General features: G+C 40.8%; 2 protein-coding genes across 5 annotated transcripts in view; both read left to right on the top strand.

The window, feature by feature from the left end:
• The window catches only part of ERCC6 (ERCC excision repair 6, chromatin remodeling factor), a 104,658-nt gene that overhangs the window by 7,600 nt on the left and 78,824 nt on the right, over positions 1-18,234 (top strand). For 2 of the 4 annotated variants that reach the window (NM_001277059.2, NM_001277058.2), the window contains exons 3-6: positions 1,099-1,219; positions 3,414-3,522; positions 7,162-7,906; positions 14,818-16,741. In NM_001277059.2, the coding sequence (NP_001263988.1) occupies positions 1,099-1,219; positions 3,414-3,522; positions 7,162-7,906; positions 14,818-16,606 (2,764 nt within the window). In that variant the 3' untranslated portion in view covers positions 16,607-16,741. Of the gene's footprint in view, positions 1-1,098; positions 1,220-3,413; positions 3,523-7,161; positions 7,907-14,817; positions 16,742-18,234 lie in introns of those variants that run through there. The other 2 variants (NM_001346440.2, NM_000124.4) reach the window with 1 other exon arrangement.
• On the top strand, positions 7,658-16,834 carry PGBD3 (piggyBac transposable element derived 3). Its single transcript, NM_170753.3, has 2 exons — positions 7,658-7,906; positions 14,818-16,834. The coding sequence occupies exon 2, from the start codon at positions 14,825-14,827 to the stop codon at positions 16,604-16,606; it is 1,782 nt and encodes a 593-aa protein (NP_736609.2). The 5' UTR covers positions 7,658-7,906; positions 14,818-14,824; the 3' UTR covers positions 16,607-16,834.

Genomic DNA, 18,234 nt, shown 5'->3' with positions numbered 1-18,234 from the left:
GTAGGAGGTGAGGACAGGAGAGGGGAAGTGGGAGGGGTTGAGCTCACTTATCATTGCTGCTTGGCCCCCGTTGGGCAGTGTTCTGGGCAGTGTCAGGTAAGCAAGAAAGAAGGCGAGGGCTGAACGGGATGGAGGATGGAGCAGTGTCACAGAGGATAGCTGGGGAGGGTGGAGTGTGGCGCTGTCATGAATGTGGTTGTTGGTACTTCAAAGACATGTTTTCTGCTAACCATTCCCTGGTGTGTTCTTTTGGCCTCCTCAGGAGCAGGTGCTCGTTCATGGTTATAGTCTGAGTGTTGAGGACCTCAACTCTTTGTAATGATACTTTTACATTTGATCTTGGAAATGTGTCCTCTTTCTCCAGAGGTGACAGAGGAGAGTTGTGGGGTCTCCATGCAGAGTGATGCTAGATGGCTGGTGGCATGTGGTGTCTCAGCCAGTAATACGCATTGTTTATCCTGTAATCCACAGAGGATACAAACAGCAAATTACACAATCATCAAGAAGATTGAATTTGTGTTTTGAAAATTGGAAGCTACAATTCTATGGTGTCTATTTTAGGAGTAATTTATTTTAAATTGATTTGTTTTCTTTGCACCACAAAGTTTAGTGCTGTAGTAAGTGAATCTTCCATTTATGTAGAAGAAAAATATTGTCGCAGATGTGTGATTTATATAAAAAAATGTTTAAGCATATTTAGGATGCTTCCAGACTTTGGAAGGCTTCCGTAACGGGCTTAAAAAACCCATGTATGCATTTTTTCATGTAAAAGGACAACTTATTGCACATTGTTCTAGCATAGTGTGTTGAATAAAGTAGGCACTTAAATAATGCTTGTAGAATGACTGAAGCAGCTTACAAATGGGAATGAGCTGATCTAAATCAGCTAGATAAAAGAAAACACTAGCAGTCATCTTAAACCTCTAATGATCCTACAAGTTTTATTTGTGGCCAATAAGGGTATGTATTCTGGTTTAGTTTCCTTTATCTTTTAGTTAATAAGAAGTAAAAGGGACATGTTTTTAGCATTTTTCTCTTTATATTATGCTATAAAAATGTTATCAGAGTGCAAAATAGACAATTTATCTTATTTTTCAGGTCATGTACGACATCCCTAAGGCAAATCAATAAAATTATTGAACAGCTTAGCCCTCAAGCTGCCACCAGCAGAGACATCAACAGGAAACTAGATTCTGTAAAACGACAGAAGTATAATAAGGTGATTCAGAATAACATTCAGTATTGCATTTTTGAAAAAGTCATCATTTAGGGGCACTTAATTTAGGAAGTATTTTAAAAAGTGCTTATAAGATGTGAAGCAAATACTTATAATTACAATAGAGAAATTTTGGGTTTCTTTTGTATGTTTAATCTTTCTGCTGTTTTCCTTTAACATCCCATTCTATTGCATTTAAAAAAACACACATACATAGACACACACATCCATACGTATACAGTTGCTCCTTGATTTACAACAGGGTTACATCCCGACAAACCCATCGTAAATTGAAAATATTGTTAGTCAAAAATGCATTAAATACACTGAAAAACCTATCTTAAAGTCAAAATATTGTAAGTCAAACCATAGTTAAGTCCAGAGGCTCCTCAGTTTATAATGGGGTTATGCCCTGATAAACCCATCACAAAGTTGAAAAATTGCAAGTCAGACCATGATAAGTTGGAGACCATCTGTGTATTTGAGAAAAGTTCCTTTTTGGTGTTGCTTGCCTCACTTGGGCGCACTTCCTTAGTTTTCCTGCATCACCATTTCTTTGGCCTGGCTTAGGGTCACACTGGCCTCAGTCTCCTGGTCTCCTGTGAACTCTTTTCTGCTTAGCCCTTGCTTCCTCTAATTGTCTCCACTCTGTTTCTTGGTGGTGCAGCCATTGACCCTCACACACCTTTGCTGACAGTTGCGAGAGCTTGGCCCTTCCTCCCACCTTGGGTGTTACAGTCAGCACCCAGCCACACTGGGGTTGTACTTAGCTTTGGAAAACTTAAGGGTAGGGAATATTTGTTACTTAGGATATTATTTTTATGAAGTTTGAAACTTTTTTTAAGGATTTATGTACAGCTTTGTGAGGTCTGAAACATTTTTTATGATTTATGTACCCCTTTGTGAAAATACATTGCAATAGATAGGAATGACTAGCTGTAACCATTTCAGTTCTGCCATCCCAACTTGTGCTTACAGTTGATTCACTGCAGTGAGTAGAGTCCTTGCATCTTTTCTTTAAGCTCTCCAGGGGCAGGGCTGTGCGTTGGTTCAGTTCACGTGGCCCTCCTTTTATTATACTTTCCACTCACCAGTCTGTTACCTGCACTACCCCATCTTCTCTCACTTGCTTCCAGAATAGCAGCCCAAAGGTCAAAGCTAGCAGTTGCCCAAGGCAGGTGGGTCCTCCCAAATCAGAGAGAGGACATCTGGTCTCTTGTGGGAGCATGTGAAATTGATGTGCAGAGACCTTCTTGGGCTTCTAGTGGGCTGGAATTTCAAGGGTGTAGAGCATCAAACTTGAGACCACTTCAGGTCCTAGTCTAACTTAATTATGCATTCTTGTCTTTAGCAGCTCTTTGATGGTTAGAGGTAGACTATTCAGAGGGAAAGTGCTTTAGACAGAATGTTGCTGAGAGAAAAACTGAGAAAAAACAAATTGCAAGTCATTGCAGTGTGGCATTTATGTTCAGGATTTCCCCTTGTCCCACACTCGTATTTGAAGTTGAAACATTCTTGACCTTGGAAAGATGAACCAGGTACCACAAGCCCAGTTCATTGGGCCTCCCCAGTGAAGCCCAAGGGCACATATCTGAGTTCTGGTGATGTGGAAGGGAACAAGACAAAGAGGAGTCTGGCGTGGCCAGGGTGGAGAGGCATGGCAAGATATATTTTTTTCTTAAAGCTTTTTGATTAGGTAGAATACTAAAAGGACAGTCATAAATATAGTAGGTTATCAAAGGAGACTAACTTTTTCAATTGAACATTTGTGTTTTTATTTCTTATCTTATGGCCTGTTGACTTCCATAGCCCATTGGTTCTGAATCAGAAATACAGAGTAGTTTAGGGATTTGCCCAGTGTGTAAGGGGGAAACCAAGTAGAACAAGTCCACCTTTCAGGTCAGTGCCCATGTATTTAAGGGCTCGGGCACATAGAAGGCAGTCTGCCGTCCTCAGGAGAGCATGGGGGTGCAGGCATGCCTGTCTGCTGGGAATATTCACGGCCCCTTTACTCCTAGAAAAGTGGTAGTTGCTCACATAGGGCTCTCTAGTAATAGTAATGTATGGAATTTTTATGTAATGTATATTATTTTTATTTTACTTTGGATTTAAGTTTAAAATTTCATAATGCTATCTTTTGTATTTAACAATAAATCACTTCATTGCTGTTTTCTGTCTTCTATATTTACCATTCAAGGAACAACAGCTAAAAAAGATCACTGCAAAACAAAAGCATCTCCAGGCCATCCTTGGAGGAGCAGAGGTGAAAATTGAACTAGATCACGCCAGTCTGGAGGAGGATGCAGGTGAGGATGCTAGGAGCAGTTTCTCTGTGTTCTTGAATTGATGCCTGATGCCTGTAGTCAGTGGAGGGTGTCTCTTTAGTCTTTGCCTGGGTTTTGAGAAAAATACGTTTCTTTGCCTTAGTGTCAAAACAGATTTAGGAAAATTTTATTCTCTACACCTGCAGAACCAAATCCCTCTCAAAGAGAATTAAAGTAAACTTTTAACTCAGTTCATAGGAGGCTGCTGGTACACATTTATTATTACATTTAATACACTGGAAATCTTAAACATTCTTATTTTGTTAATTTGATAAAGACAACTAGCATCATGATTAAATTACATGTTGGAAGCCCAACATCATTAATCGCATTTGTAGAATGGCTCTCACGTGTCTTTAAAGAGCGTATTTGGCAGGCTTTCCAAGCATCAGTTTAAGAAAAGACATCTTCATTCAGGTACTCTGGGCAGTATTTCATTTACATTACTGTCTTGGATGGTTGTCTTTTGGAAAACTTTTTGGGAAAATTCGTAAGCTCTGGAACTAAATTATCTTTGCAGTCATTGTGTGTGTGTATGTGTGTGTGTGTGTACAAATTGTTGGTGGCTGCATAGGCATTGACTATTTGAAATACAGATTAAAGCTGCTTAGCATTAAATTCTCTAAGCAACTATTTTCTACTAGCTTTAGAAGTTTATTCAGTAAGATGAGAATTGTTATGAAGAATTAATTGAAGCAATAGAAAAAAATATGTATATTTTTGAAACAGAGTTTCGTTCTTGTTGCCCAAGTTTGGAGTGCAATGGCACCATCTCAGCTCACTGCAACCTCTGCCTCCCGGGTTCAAGCGATTCTCCTGCCTCAGCCTCCCAAGTAGCTGGATTACAGGCGCATACCACCATGCCCAGCTAATTTTTTGTATTTTTAGTAGAAACAGGGTTTCACCATGTTAGCCAAGCTGGTCTCGAACTCCTGACGTCAGGTGATCTGCTCACCTTGGCCTCCCAAAGTACTGGGATTACAGGTGTGAGCCACTGCACCCAGCCCAAAAGTACGTGGTTTTAAAGTTCAGCCTCTCAGAATTCATTAGGCCTATGACCAGTGCTTTTAACTGCTGTGTACTATGTTTCTCATTGATAACAGATGTTTGTTCCTGTCTGGCCGTCTCAGATCTGCTGTTGTCTTTCACCTCCTACTGTGACTTTGGTAGTAGGGTTAATAGCTACCTCTTAGGGTTAATAGCTAAAACTTTGGTAGTAGGGTTAATAGCTACATTGTCTAGGGTTAATAGCTACCTCCTCAAATCCAAGAGCCCCTTTTTATCCTTGTTCCACTCTGCCTGTCCACAGCAGCTGACACTTCTGTTCCTTGTGGGATCCCTGCTTCTCTACTGGTTTTCTTTTTAGCCCTCTGACTACTTCTGCATAGTTATTTCTGGCCATATCTTAAATATTGATGTTTCTCAGGATTTCTTTGAGCCCTCTTCTTGTTCTACTGCCTCTCCCTGGTTATCTATTCCCCATGGCTTTTGCAGCCACCTAGGTTCTACTAGTACCTTATACAGATCTGTAGACATCTGGCTTTGCTCTTTTTTTGAGTTCCTGGTTCCTATTATATCTCTCCGTCTGGACACCAGCCAACACTTGAAGACATGAACTGAAATTGGAAGTTACACCATAACTGTAAAGTCACCCAGAAAGTATCCCTCTTTCATTAGTTGAAATTCATCTCCGGCAAAATTACCACATAACCAAAATACCAAAAGACCTAAGGCTTAATAGGAAGCAAAATACTCAGTGTAAAGACCTAAGGCTTAATTGAGGCAAAATACTCAGTGTAAAGGAAAAGATTTGTTAAATGGACTATATATAAAACCAAGAACTTCTGTTCATCAGAAGATAGCATTTAGGGCAAGATACTGAGCTGGGGAAGATATTTGCAATACATGTGTGAATCAAAGGACTCAAATCTAGGATGTATAAAGAACTAGAAATCATTTAAAGAAACAGACAAACAAAAATGGGCGAAAGACTGGAACACTTCCTACACAAAAAAGGCTATCCAAAAGATAAATTCATGAAAGGCACCTATTTTGTTAGTCATCAGGGAAATGTAAATTATAGCCATAATGTGGTACCACTACACATCTACCAAAATAGCTAACATGGAATGGCAAGAATATACACCAGTTGGAACTTTCTGACACAGTTGATGGGGACTTTGGAACGTAACACTTTGGAAAACTGACAGTGTCTACTAAAGCTTAGCATACCCAGATATATATATATATATATATATATATATATATATATATATATATAAAAATATATAAATATATAAATATATAAATATAAATAAAACCAAAAGATGTGCATCAGAATATTCATAGCAACATTATTCCTAGTAGCCAAAACCTGGAAGCCACTCAAATGTGCATTAACAGTGAGAGTTAACAAACTACAGCTACATTCAACAGTAAGGATGCAGCTCAAAAGCATAATGTTGGGTGAAGGAAGGTGGACACAGGGCACAAACATTTCCACTTACGTAGCGTTCAGAGACAGGCACAACTTGTCTGTACGTTAGGAGTCCAGGTCCATCATTATCTTGGGGGGCGTAGAGGCTGGGAGGTAGCCTGAAGGGCTCATCTGGTGGTGCTAGTAATTCTGTTAGTTGATATGGCTGCTAGTTTATGAGTACATTTTTTCTGAATATTCACTGAGTTCTACACTTAATGATTTGTGCACTTTCAGATGTATGTTTTATTTCAGTGCAAGTTTAATGAAAAACTGGGTATCATTGGCCTGCAAGAATTGTAGATTTTAGAATATGGATTCCTTCCTATTAAGCCTTAGGTCTTTTGGTATTTTGGTTATGTGGTAATTTTGCCAGAGATGAATTTCAACTAATGAAAGAGGGATACTTTCTGGTGACTTTACACTTATGGTGTAATGTCTTCAAGTCAGTTAACTTCACATATCTAACACAGTGCTGCTGTCCAATAGACCTTTTTGCAGTGATGAAAATGTTCTCTGTGTTGCCCATTATAGTAGCCATTAGTCACGTGTAGCTCTTGAGCACTTGAAAAAGGGCAAATGCAACTGTGGAACTGAGTTTTTAACTTAATGTAATTTAAATTTAAATAGCTGCAGGTGACTGGTAACTGCCATGCTGGGCAGCATAGAGCTGACATTTATGTTTTTCCTTTTTAGGTACATGGTGATCCCTGTTTTTGGTTTTACTGTCTCTTGAATTTAAGTCCATCTGAATGTTGGTTTTAGCAATGACGTGAGAACTTCGGAGCTTGCTTCCTCATGGACGACTACTCAGCTGATAAGGAAACACAGCTAAACTTGACTATTTATAACTGTATTTATACAGTAATAAGCCTATCTTTGGATGGCAGAGAGTATATTTATAGTGAAATATTTTGGGGAAAAGTTACTGAGAAGTTGTCTTTTTGAACAGGAATATATTAAATATAGCATGATGCTATAATTTTATTCTGTCCTTCATATGTAACATGCTTTAGTACATGGATGATTCTTTTTTTATATGAGTTATTTGTAGCTGCCTAATATTTCTTGAAAGAGTGAGCATTTCTTTTGTACCCTCGGAAAGTTTCATGCTAGTGCGAAACGCATTGCTATTGTTCTTTCAGAGCCGGGGCCATCCAGTCTTGGCAGCATGCTCATGCCTGTCCAGGAGACTGCCTGGGAAGAGCTCATCCGCACTGGCCAGATGACACCTTTTGGTACCCAGATCCCTCAGAAACAGGAGAAAAAGCCCAGAAAAATCATGCTTAATGAAGCATCAGGCTTCGAAAAGTATTTGGCAGATCAAGCAAAACTGTCTTTTGAAAGGAAGAAGCAAGGTTGTAATAAAAGAGCAGCTAGAAAAGCTCCAGCCCCAGTCACGCCTCCAGCCCCAGTGCAAAATAAAAACAAACCAAACAAGAAAGCCAGAGTTCTGTCCAAAAAAGAGGAGCGTTTGAAAAAGCACATCAAGAAACTCCAGAAGAGGGCTTTGCAGTTCCAGGGGAAAGTGGGATTGCCAAAGGCAAGGAGACCTTGGGAGTCAGACATGAGGCCAGAGGCAGAGGGAGACTCTGAGGGTGAAGAGTCTGAGTATTTCCCCACAGAGGAGGAGGAAGAGGAGGAAGATGACGAGGTGGAGGGGGCAGAGGCGGACCTGTCTGGAGATGGTACTGACTATGAGCTGAAGCCTCTGCCCAAGGGCGGGAAACGGCAGAAGAAAGTGCCAGTGCAGGAGATTGATGATGACTTTTTCCCAAGTTCTGGGGAAGAAGCTGAAGCTGCTTCTGTAGGAGAAGGAGGAGGAGGAGGTCGGAAAGTGGGAAGATACCGAGATGATGGAGATGAAGATTATTATAAGCAGCGGTTAAGGTCGGTCTGTGGGGATTATAAATACATTGTACTGTTTGCTTTATCTTAGGTGACAGGTTTATTAATATGTAAGCATTCTAGATCCAGCTTAATATATTAGACCCCCCCGATTATACAGAGGTTGGATTTCTGCAGCCTTAACCTGCTAGAAGCAGTGGGGCCCCTGAGTCCTTAATGATGCTGGCCCCAAATGCATGTACTTCTAGGTCTTTAGTTGGATTTGGAGGCAAGTCTAAGATGAAAAACTTAAGGGAAGGCTGGGGCAAGAGGCATACAGAGGGCTGAGTGTGAGCTGTGTCGCCTTTATACCGACAGTCACCCTAGAATGAGTATCAGGAAAAAGAAAAGGGTGAATTAATGCATACTGGATAGGGGTTTCTGTTTTCCCTTTTGAAGCAGGAAAGTAATTTTAGAGAACTTTTCTTCAAAAAAGAGCTGAAACTTAAGCTTTGGCATAGAAAGAATAAGCTTGCTTTTGTAAATCCTTCCTTTGTCTTGAGAAAATAGTCATCTGCATAATTATAAGCCACCATCATGCAAAAAGTGTACTTTGTATGCACAGCATACCTTTCTTTTCACTGTTGTTTTTTATGTTAGAGACTGACTTTGGCTTTTAGCTCCATGACATTGTCATTGTATAAAGCAAGCACCATAAAAGGGAAGGTGAACATGTGAAACATGAAGTCTGAATTGCATATTGCCACACGTTTTCTGAGAGCCAGGAAAAATAATCTGTATTGCAGGCCTCCCCATGGTGGCCCACTGAACACTGTGCTACTGCCGCGCATTTCAAGTCTCCTTGACTTAGAGCTCACTTAGCTCTAAGGAAGTCAAAGGGAAAAAGGAACCTTATTACTTTTAAAATACTTGATAGTGGGATGGCTTTTTCCCAATCCTCAACAGTTTTTTCTTATTTCTCAAGGTGAAGAGACCTAGTTTGTTGTATTTATTGGCCTTTGTGAGTGAAGGTTGACCTGGTGTTTTTTCTTGTTACTTAGAACTGCTCATTAACCCCCGTCCAGACACTACAGACATTCCATAACCTTTCCGAAATAGATGTGTCAATTCTTTTAAACAGTAATTTGAGGACCTGTGACTTAAATCCTGTTCTTTAGAGTTGCGGCACTCACATTCTAGTAGCACCTTATGTAGTAATGCACAGATGAGGGCTGGCTTATATTTGTCATCCCTCAGCACAGCTTTCGTTTCTGTGCACGTTTATTACCTGTGAAGTTGTTTGAGGAATGTTGCCCAGTACTCTTGAACAGTGAGCGGTGTCAGACTTTTTCTTAACTACTGCAAGGAATTAATAAAAGTGTTAATCTCAACATATTGATTATAAATGGAGCAATATATATTTTTCCAATTAAATTGGGTCAATATTAAATATGTTTAAAATATATCAGTATTTTGATCAAGAGCAATTTATTTTGATTGAATTTTAAATGTGGGTTTAGTTAATTTGATGGCAATAAGTTTTTCTTAATAATGTTAAGATTGTAAAACAATTTATTATTTCCAGAGCCAATATTTTGCTAAAGCTACAGTGAAATCTCAAATGAATTTCAGAAATATCAATAACTCTTAATTGCCACCAAAATACGATAGCTCTTAACATTTTATAGCTACAGTTATTAAGGCTGTTAAACTGCAGATATCCACATTGAAATATTTGTTATTACATCTCCTTTGGTGCTGTTTGGTTTGGGGGATGAAAGAAAATAAAATGCTCAGGATTGAGAAGCATATTAGAACTGCCAGTCTCTCTATATTTTGTTACTCATTGCTGATCTTTGTAGACTAATTGAAATGGTAATGCTATTCCCTTGAGAAACAGAAAGACCTTTAGGGTTGCTTGTCTTAGCAGTGGTTTGACGATGGATGATTAGAATAAAGTCATAGAGTTTACAACATAGAAAATTAGTTTTTTTTTAGTGGTTAGAATTTAGGAGTAGTTCCCAGGGTAGGCACCCTTTGCTGAACTTAACACCTTTTACTGAGGGTATAGCCTGTTAATTATAATGCTCTTTTCAACTCTAGGAAGTGAGAGTGGGTGACTTCTGGATATCTCATCCTCTTTATTCTCTCAGCTTGAGAGCCATCGGCCTTTCACTGGCACTAGGTTCACCCTAACTAGGTGCCTTTGTTTTAGCTGATACTTACTAGGAATTTTCCGTCAAGCCCTTTCCATAGCTTTTTTAATGGAACTGGGCAGTCGCCCTTTGGATCCTGCTTTCCTTCATTTGGCTCAAGCCCTCAGCTCAGTCTTTGAAGTTTTAACCATTTTTCAAACCGTGTATTCCCCCTTCTCATGTGTTTCTCCTGCCTCCTCCTCTGCACTGAACTGTATCTGGAGGCTGACTCCTCAGTGGGTTCCCTGGTTTTCATACCCTTTCATGTCATACAGGATGGATGAGCCACTGCTTAGAAGTAAATGTTCTGTCGGTTCTATGGTCAGTGGTATACAGGTCTTGTAAAACATACATTATTTTTTCATTTTACTTTGTGCTACCACGGTTTCCATTTGCTTATGGCTGTTGGTTGTGAGGTCTAGTGCTTTCTTAAAATATACTACTGCTTTGCACATTGTGGGCCTGGGAGCTCCGGGTGCCAAATAAAGATTAGGACTAACACACCTTCAGTGTTTGAGTGATGTGGGTTCCCGGTGAGCACCTACATGCTGCTTACCTAGTACAGGCTGTGCAGCCAAGACAGCCCTGTGTGGCCCAGAAGACCAAACATTTCATGTGAACCTTTCCCCTTCAGGGTGATAAAGATCAGGTCGCTTGTCCCCAGTCCTTGTTACCTCCATGTTATTGATTCACTTCCCAGTTGCCATATTCGAGGTAAGCCTCCATAGCTTTATCTTTGCTTTCATGTCAACAATGCATGTCTGCATCCTTGGACTGGCTTCAAGGGTTTCTGGCAAAAAATTTGCAGTCTGTTAATAGACTTGGGCACAAATAGGACCTAACCAAGTGTGAAGGGAATAATGAATTCAGACTGAGGCATTTGGGAGAGACTGTTGGGGAAGTTCATCCAGTGCAGGGCCTTGTCTTGTTGGGTGGCTCAGATATATTAATATGACCCTTATCCAAATTAACAATGTTACGCATTTGCCCCTAAACTCCAGGTGCATCATTGAGAAGGGAAGGAATTTGCTTTGCTTTGGAGGCACATTATTTCCTCAGGGTTCTCATTTGGATTGCCTTGGAGGTTGGTGTGATGCCACAATGTGCAGAGAGGCTGAGGACAGGGAGGGCAGGTGGGCTTCACTTTCCAGCCAGCTCTGATTTCTGGGGAGTGGTAGTCTATTCAGGGGGCTCCGAGGCCCTGTTTGGGTGGATTGGGAAGAGTGTGCAGTTCCTTAGTGATGTCTATCATAGGCACAGTGGGGAACTAGCAACATTCATGCTAGGTATTTGCCAGCCTTGACATAATAAAACAGATGTCACTGACTCCTGCCTCTTTGTCCAGCAGTGGTCAGCACTGCTTGGTCAGGCTGCAGGGCATAGATGGGTTGCATCCTGAGTGAGAAAATGCATTTCCAGATATGTTTTTGTCTCTTCTTGCTGGCAGGACTAGGGTTAGTGTTTATCATTTGACTTAAACTCATTCCCCCAAGTTCTTACTCTATTTTCATGTATCGGCAGTTACTATTTAAGTTGCTGCCCTCGCAGACTACAGTGAGGGCAACGAGCACAGACGAGAGCAAAGCTTCCCCACCCACAGACTGATTATGCAGTGTCACTGGGAGCCCCTAACACTGGAGACGCTGACTTAGGAAGTGTAGCGTGGGGTCACCGGGCAGGACTTTTAAAAAATGTTCCCAGATGGCTCTGATCACTGTCAGGTTTGGGAGCTAGGGATGGAAATAAGTCAGTCTTATGTATTTCTCTTTTTTGGGGCTGCAGCTTTTGGCTGATGCAGTTTGTATATCAGTTTCTCAAAAATCCTCTTTTATGTGCCCTGCACAGTTGTATGTACACAGGGGAGGGCCTGGCAGGGAGCCTTAGCTAAATGCTGTATGTCATAGATCATCTGGTTCTTGTGGGGTGTGTGTGTCAGAATCACATGGGAAACACCTTCAGAGGGTAGGGGCCTGGGCTCAGCGTGGGGAGTCTGAGGCAGCAGGTGCAGAGTGGGAGGAGCTGGGCACTGCACTTGTGCTTTGGCTGAGCTCCCGCTGACTCTGAGGGGAGCTTGGTGACATTCTTCATGGTCCACAGGACCTTGCTCAGAAAGAACTATGTTCTCATTTAGGAGAGCTTTGAGGCAGTTGGGAAGCATTGTTGGTAAGGATGTTGAGGCTTGAGAATGTAATGCTTTTTTCTTTACTATGGCCCACACTCAGCAAATAATTGCCTCTGGGATAAATCCCCGACCCATGCCCACCCCGATCAGGGAAACATAGTGGGGAGTTCAGAAACGGACTCTTCAGTAGGCGGTGCCTGAGTCTCCTCAGATGACCTGGTGCATTGGGCTAAGCTGCTAAATGCATAGCCTGAAGTGGATTTGAGTTGGTTCCTCTGCATGGTTTGAAGGCTCCCTCGCCACCTTTCAGCACTTCTGATGAGTCCCTATTTTTATTGTAAAAGTATGACAACAATATTAAGATGAAAAAATGACCTCTTTTATGTTTTTATTTTCTACATGTCATTCCAGTCTTTGGTTCTGTGAATACACATCTTTACATGGTTATAATCACGGCCCCTCCAGTTAATTGGCTTGCCCACAGTTTTACTGTGAAGTAGAGCTGAGATTTGAAGTCGGCTGGGCCCTCTACATACATGTTTCCTTCCCTTTGTGGGATTGAGTAGAAGGTGCAATATTTAGGTATGACCACAGGGTGGTGCCAAAAATCAACACATAGCTGCCCCCACCTCCATTGGACTGAAAACCAAACCAAAAACCTAAGCCTGTAATCTGGGAATTTGGATGAGGATATAGGGAGATGGCTCAGGAGTCTAGAAGACCTGGCAAGTATGGTGTGGATGGGGACAGAATTTACTTCATGGTCTGGTGTAACCTGAATCTGTAGACTTGATGCCTGTTGATATAATTGGTTTTTAATAAATTTTTGATCCTAAAGGTTTTTCTTGTGCCCTATTTTTTACCTTTTTTACATGAGTAACTCTGAGATGTAAAGGGGTGATAAAGATTCCATTCATTGTGTAAGTCTTACAGAATGTCTTCTAATAGTCTGTGAGACATAATCTCCTGCGAAGATAATACTCTTCATTGTCCTTCCCCTGAGCACTGGGCCTCTGTGGCCAGGGCCCCATTGAACCCTGGCTTGGGAGGGTTGGGTTGTGCACATCCACTGTTCTGAGGAGGGAGCTGTCAGCATTTCAGATGCTAGGGGTCAAGCCAAGTAGAATGACTGTTATGAAGAGAGTCTTGTGGATTTGGAACGTTGCAGCCTTTAGGGCCTGAGCAAAGGTGGCATCAAGTGGAGGTGGGGGCAGGGGCGGGAGTGGTGCACAAGAACAATGATGGCTGACATGTTTGAATGCGTACGACTTAGTGGTTCTTGTGGTTCTTCTTGTTATATAGGTTAATTCGTTTAATCCTTACAGCCACCCAGGAGATAGGACTTTGAGCCCAGAGAGATGAAGTCATTTGCTCAAGGCAGCAGTCAGTGGAAGGGCTTGGAGAAGGAGAAGGGGTCTGAAGGTGGTGTGGGACACATGAGAGTGATCTCGCAGCTTGGTTTGCTGCAGCAGACTCGGACAAGCATTGTTTCAGTGCCTGGTTTCTCCCTCCACTTGATGGGGGCCAACTCCAACCCAATGTCCCATTCCTATCCTGAAATGCTTCTAAAGGCAGTGCCCTGAGAACCACCAACCTCACAGCCTGTCTCCATTTTATTGTCTTCTGGGAACTTCTCCCTTCTGTCTAGCACCTGTTTGCACTGGGATTGTCCTGTCTGTCCTTCAGTTGGATCCTGGTTTGCACCCGATGAGGATTTAGCAATTTTAGGCTGTGCTTCGGCAAAGGCCAACTCACAATGTGGAGGTTGATTTGATTGTGCCTTTTTTTTAAAGCCCAAATTAAAGAGAAAAAACAAAACTCTCCCAAAATCTGAATTTAGTAAAAGTTTGAGATTTTATCCAGAAACCTAAATACAATTATTTTAAGAATGTTCTTAACATCTCTGAGAGTTCATTTTTCTCAAGAAATAAGCCTGGCCGGGCACAATGGCTCATACCTGTAATCCCAGCACTTTAGGAGGCCAAGGCAGGAGGATTGCTTGAGCTCAAGAGTTCGAGACCAGCCTGGGCAACATGGTGAAACCCCAAAAATAGAAAAAGTTAGCTGGGTGTGGTGATGTGCGCCTGTAGTCCCAGCTACCCAGGAGGCTGAGGTGGGTGGATCACTGGAGCCTGAGAGAAAAAAAAAAAAGAAAGAAGACTGTGTTCATTTTCTTTTAGGAATCTATAAGTTGAAAGAAAAAGTTACACTTTTAAAACCTATTTATGCCTAGTGTTCCATTATTGGAACGCTAAGCATGTGGGAGTTATTCATGCCCTACTGCTCAAGGTCATTGCCAAGGTCTGATTTTTCACACATGTCTGCCTCCTGAGGGTACATGTTATCACTTGGTGCACAGAGTTAGTTACTGCTACAGATACTGGCATGCTGGGAGCTTGTCAAAAAGTGATGTGAGTTTTCAGAAACATTTTTGAGTATCCAAAGACAGGTACATATAACTTTACTGCACTACATCCTATACTAGTAATTTTTAAGAAATAACTTCTCTACTAGTTATGCTATTGTGCGGTAAAAAGAAAATACAGAAAGTATTATTATTGCATTAGTTATGGGTTTGACATTTTTCATGTTCCATTTTTGGAACACTAGGCAAAACCACTACCACTAGGACTAATAATACCTTTTTTCCGTTTTAGTCCCAAGATGCCTCGAACACTAAGTTTACATGAAATAACTGACCTTTTAGAGACAGATGACAGCATAGAAGCAAGTGCTATAGTGATACAACCACCTGAAAATGCTACAGCACCTGTTTCTGATGAGGAATCAGGAGATGAAGAAGGTGGAACAATAAATAATCTGCCAGGTTCTTTGTTGCACACAGCTGCGTATCTTATTCAAGATGGCTCTGATGCTGAGTCTGACTCAGATGATCCCTCATACGCACCTAAAGATGACTCTCCTGATGAAGTTCCATCTACGTTTACTGTGCAGCAACCTCCACCATCAAGGAGGAGGAAAATGACAAAAATTCTTTGCAAATGGAAAAAAGCCGACCTAACTGTACAACCCGTAGCAGGTAGAGTTACAGCACCACCAAACGATTTCTTCACCGTAATGAGAACTCCCACAGAAATTCTTGAACTTTTTCTTGATGACGAGGTCATTGAACTCATTGTCAAGTACTCCAACTTATATGCTTGCAGTAAAGGTGTACATCTTGGCTTGACTAGCTCTGAATTCAAATGTTTTCTGGGAATTATTTTTCTGAGTGGTTATGTCTCAGTTCCTAGAAGGCGTATGTTTTGGGAACAAAGAACAGATGTGCATAATGTACTGGTTAGTGCTGCCATGAGACGTGACCGGTTTGAAACTATATTTTCTAATTTGCATGTTGCTGACAATGCAAATTTGGATCCAGTGGACAAATTTTCCAAATTGCGACCTCTCATAAGCAAACTTAATGAGAGATGCATGAAATTTGTTCCAAATGAAACATATTTCAGCTTTGATGAATTCATGGTTCCTTATTTTGGTCGTCACGGGTGCAAACAATTTATTCGGGGAAAGCCCATTCGGTTTGGCTATAAGTTTTGGTGTGGTGCCACCTGTCTGGGCTACATTTGCTGGTTTCAGCCGTATCAGGGTAAAAACCCAAATACTAAACATGAGGAATATGGTGTCGGTGCGTCACTTGTCCTTCAGTTTAGTGAGGCACTTACAGAGGCACACCCTGGACAATACCATTTTGTATTCAATAACTTTTTCACCAGTATTGCACTTCTTGATAAGCTCAGTTCAATGGGACATCAGGCAACAGGTACAGTGAGAAAGGATCACATTGACAGAGTTCCACTGGAATCAGATGTAGCTTTAAAGAAAAAAGAAAGAGGCACATTTGATTATCGAATTGATGGCAAAGGCAATATTGTCTGCAGATGGAATGATAACAGTGTTGTCACTGTTGCCTCATCTGGTGCTGGTATCCATCCCCTGTGTCTTGTCAGTCGTTACTCCCAGAAACTGAAAAAGAAGATACAAGTTCAGCAGCCAAACATGATCAAAGTGTATAACCAGTTCATGGGAGGCGTAGACAGAGCTGATGAAAACATTGATAAGTATCGGGCATCAATCCGTGGAAAGAAATGGTATTCAAGCCCTCTTTTGTTCTGTTTCGAACTGGTCTTACAAAATGCTTGGCAATTGCATAAAACATATGATGAGAAACCAGTGGATTTTCTGGAGTTTCGTCGACGTGTGGTATGCCATTATCTGGAGACCCATGGTCATCCTCCAGAACCTGGCCAAAAAGGAAGACCTCAGAAGCGTAACATTGACTCACGTTATGATGGCATAAATCATGTGATAGTCAAACAGGGAAAGCAAACGCGATGCGCTGAATGTCATAAGAACACAACTTTTCGATGTGAAAAATGTGATGTTGCCTTACATGTGAAGTGTTCCGTTGAATATCACACTGAATAGCAGGTGTCACCACCTCCTGAGATAAGAAACATAGTTTTATACATTATGTACAGTGTAGCAGTGGTTTTGCCTAGTGTTCCAATTTTGGAACGTCACATAACAATGGAACATAATAAATTTTTTTTTCTCTTCAAATTTTTGTTCCTTGAATTTTTCTAGGTAACATATATGAATTTCATGCAAAAATTCAAAAAATTGTAACCTCAGACATAAATGGGTTAAAGATGTTTTCTTAGAGAGCACATTGCCTTCTTTTAAATAACAAAGCTGAGACACAAATGAAGACTAATTCTGCTTCCTGCTCTGCACACACCTTTCATTCTTGGCTCTGGGCATAATTGTCTATATCAGTCTTAATTTACTCCATGAGATCTGCACTCCTAACTGAGGGTATTTCATCTGCTCAGATTTGCCAATTAAGTTTACCCAGATAGACCATAAAAAGGAAGATAAGAAAAGTAAAACACCAAGTATCTCAATTTAGCAAATTAGACTAATCTGTAAGGCATTCTTAGCTGTCTGAAATAGAAAACCTATCATACTACAGAATGCAAACTATATTAAATACCCAGCTTGGTGCCTGAATATATTTTTAAAAATCAAATTGTACTCATTGTGCCTCTGTTGTTGAATTTCTTAAATGGATATTGCAATAGGTAGAGAATGATCTTGAGGTTGAAATGTCACTCTGTATTAAGAATGATTTAACTGTATGATACACAGCTTTTTCCTTACAGACGGTGTAGATTTAAACTGCTCTGTGTACAATGATCCTTGCAACATAAAAATATTACAATAGAGCAGTAAGGTCTGTTTTGAATTTTGAGCACCACGGTAGGTGACCTCCTTGAAGTTTTGGAGAGGGCATGTTTATTTTATTAATATGATCTCAGGCAACTAATATTTGATAATTCCCATTAATATGTGTATTTTGTCCCTTTTGTGTGTTGGTATGGGCAGTTGTGTACATTGATTTGTCTAGTATAAAATGTGTATTACATGATTGTTCAGCCTATATTATGTATAGTTCAAAGAACTGCTAAACTGATTTTACTGTTACTTGGAAAAGTTTGCAGGGGTGTAGTGAAGAGTGAGTTTTGACTTACTTTGCACACTATTAAGGTGGGGAAGGAATCATGTTATTGTACAAAAATGAAGGCAATCTTTCCCTTCTTTAAACCTTAGTCCTGATGTTTTTTTAAGACAACATTTGGATTGAAGTTTTAGAATTTGGTTTGTTCTTGTGCAATTGCTTTCGTTCTGTGGCAGTTAGAGGACCCTTCGCTGGCACTGTGAGAAAAGGGGTGGTACTAGGGAGTTTGGAAAATACTTTTTTGAAGACAGTATTATGTAACAGATAGGAATATAGACTCTGGAACTTGATTATCTGGGTTTGAATCTTTTCCCTTAACTCATTGGTAATCTTGGACAGCTTCCTTTCTTTCTCCCTGTCTGCTTTAATTGTTAAAAAAAAAAGAGAGAGAGAGAGAATAACAATAGTATTGATATGGTTTGGCTTTCTGTCCCCACCCAAATCTCATCTTGAATTGTAGTCCCCATATGTCAAGGGAGGAACCTGATGGGAAGTGATTGGATTATGGGGGCGGTTTCCCCCATGCTGTTCTCAC

Source organism: Homo sapiens, chromosome 10, assembly GCF_000001405.40.
Source record: "Homo sapiens chromosome 10, GRCh38.p14 Primary Assembly".
Lineage (NCBI taxonomy): Eukaryota > Metazoa > Chordata > Mammalia > Primates > Hominidae > Homo > Homo sapiens.
Note: the sequence above shows the minus strand (reverse complement) of the source record. Positions and strands in the feature narration are given on the sequence as shown.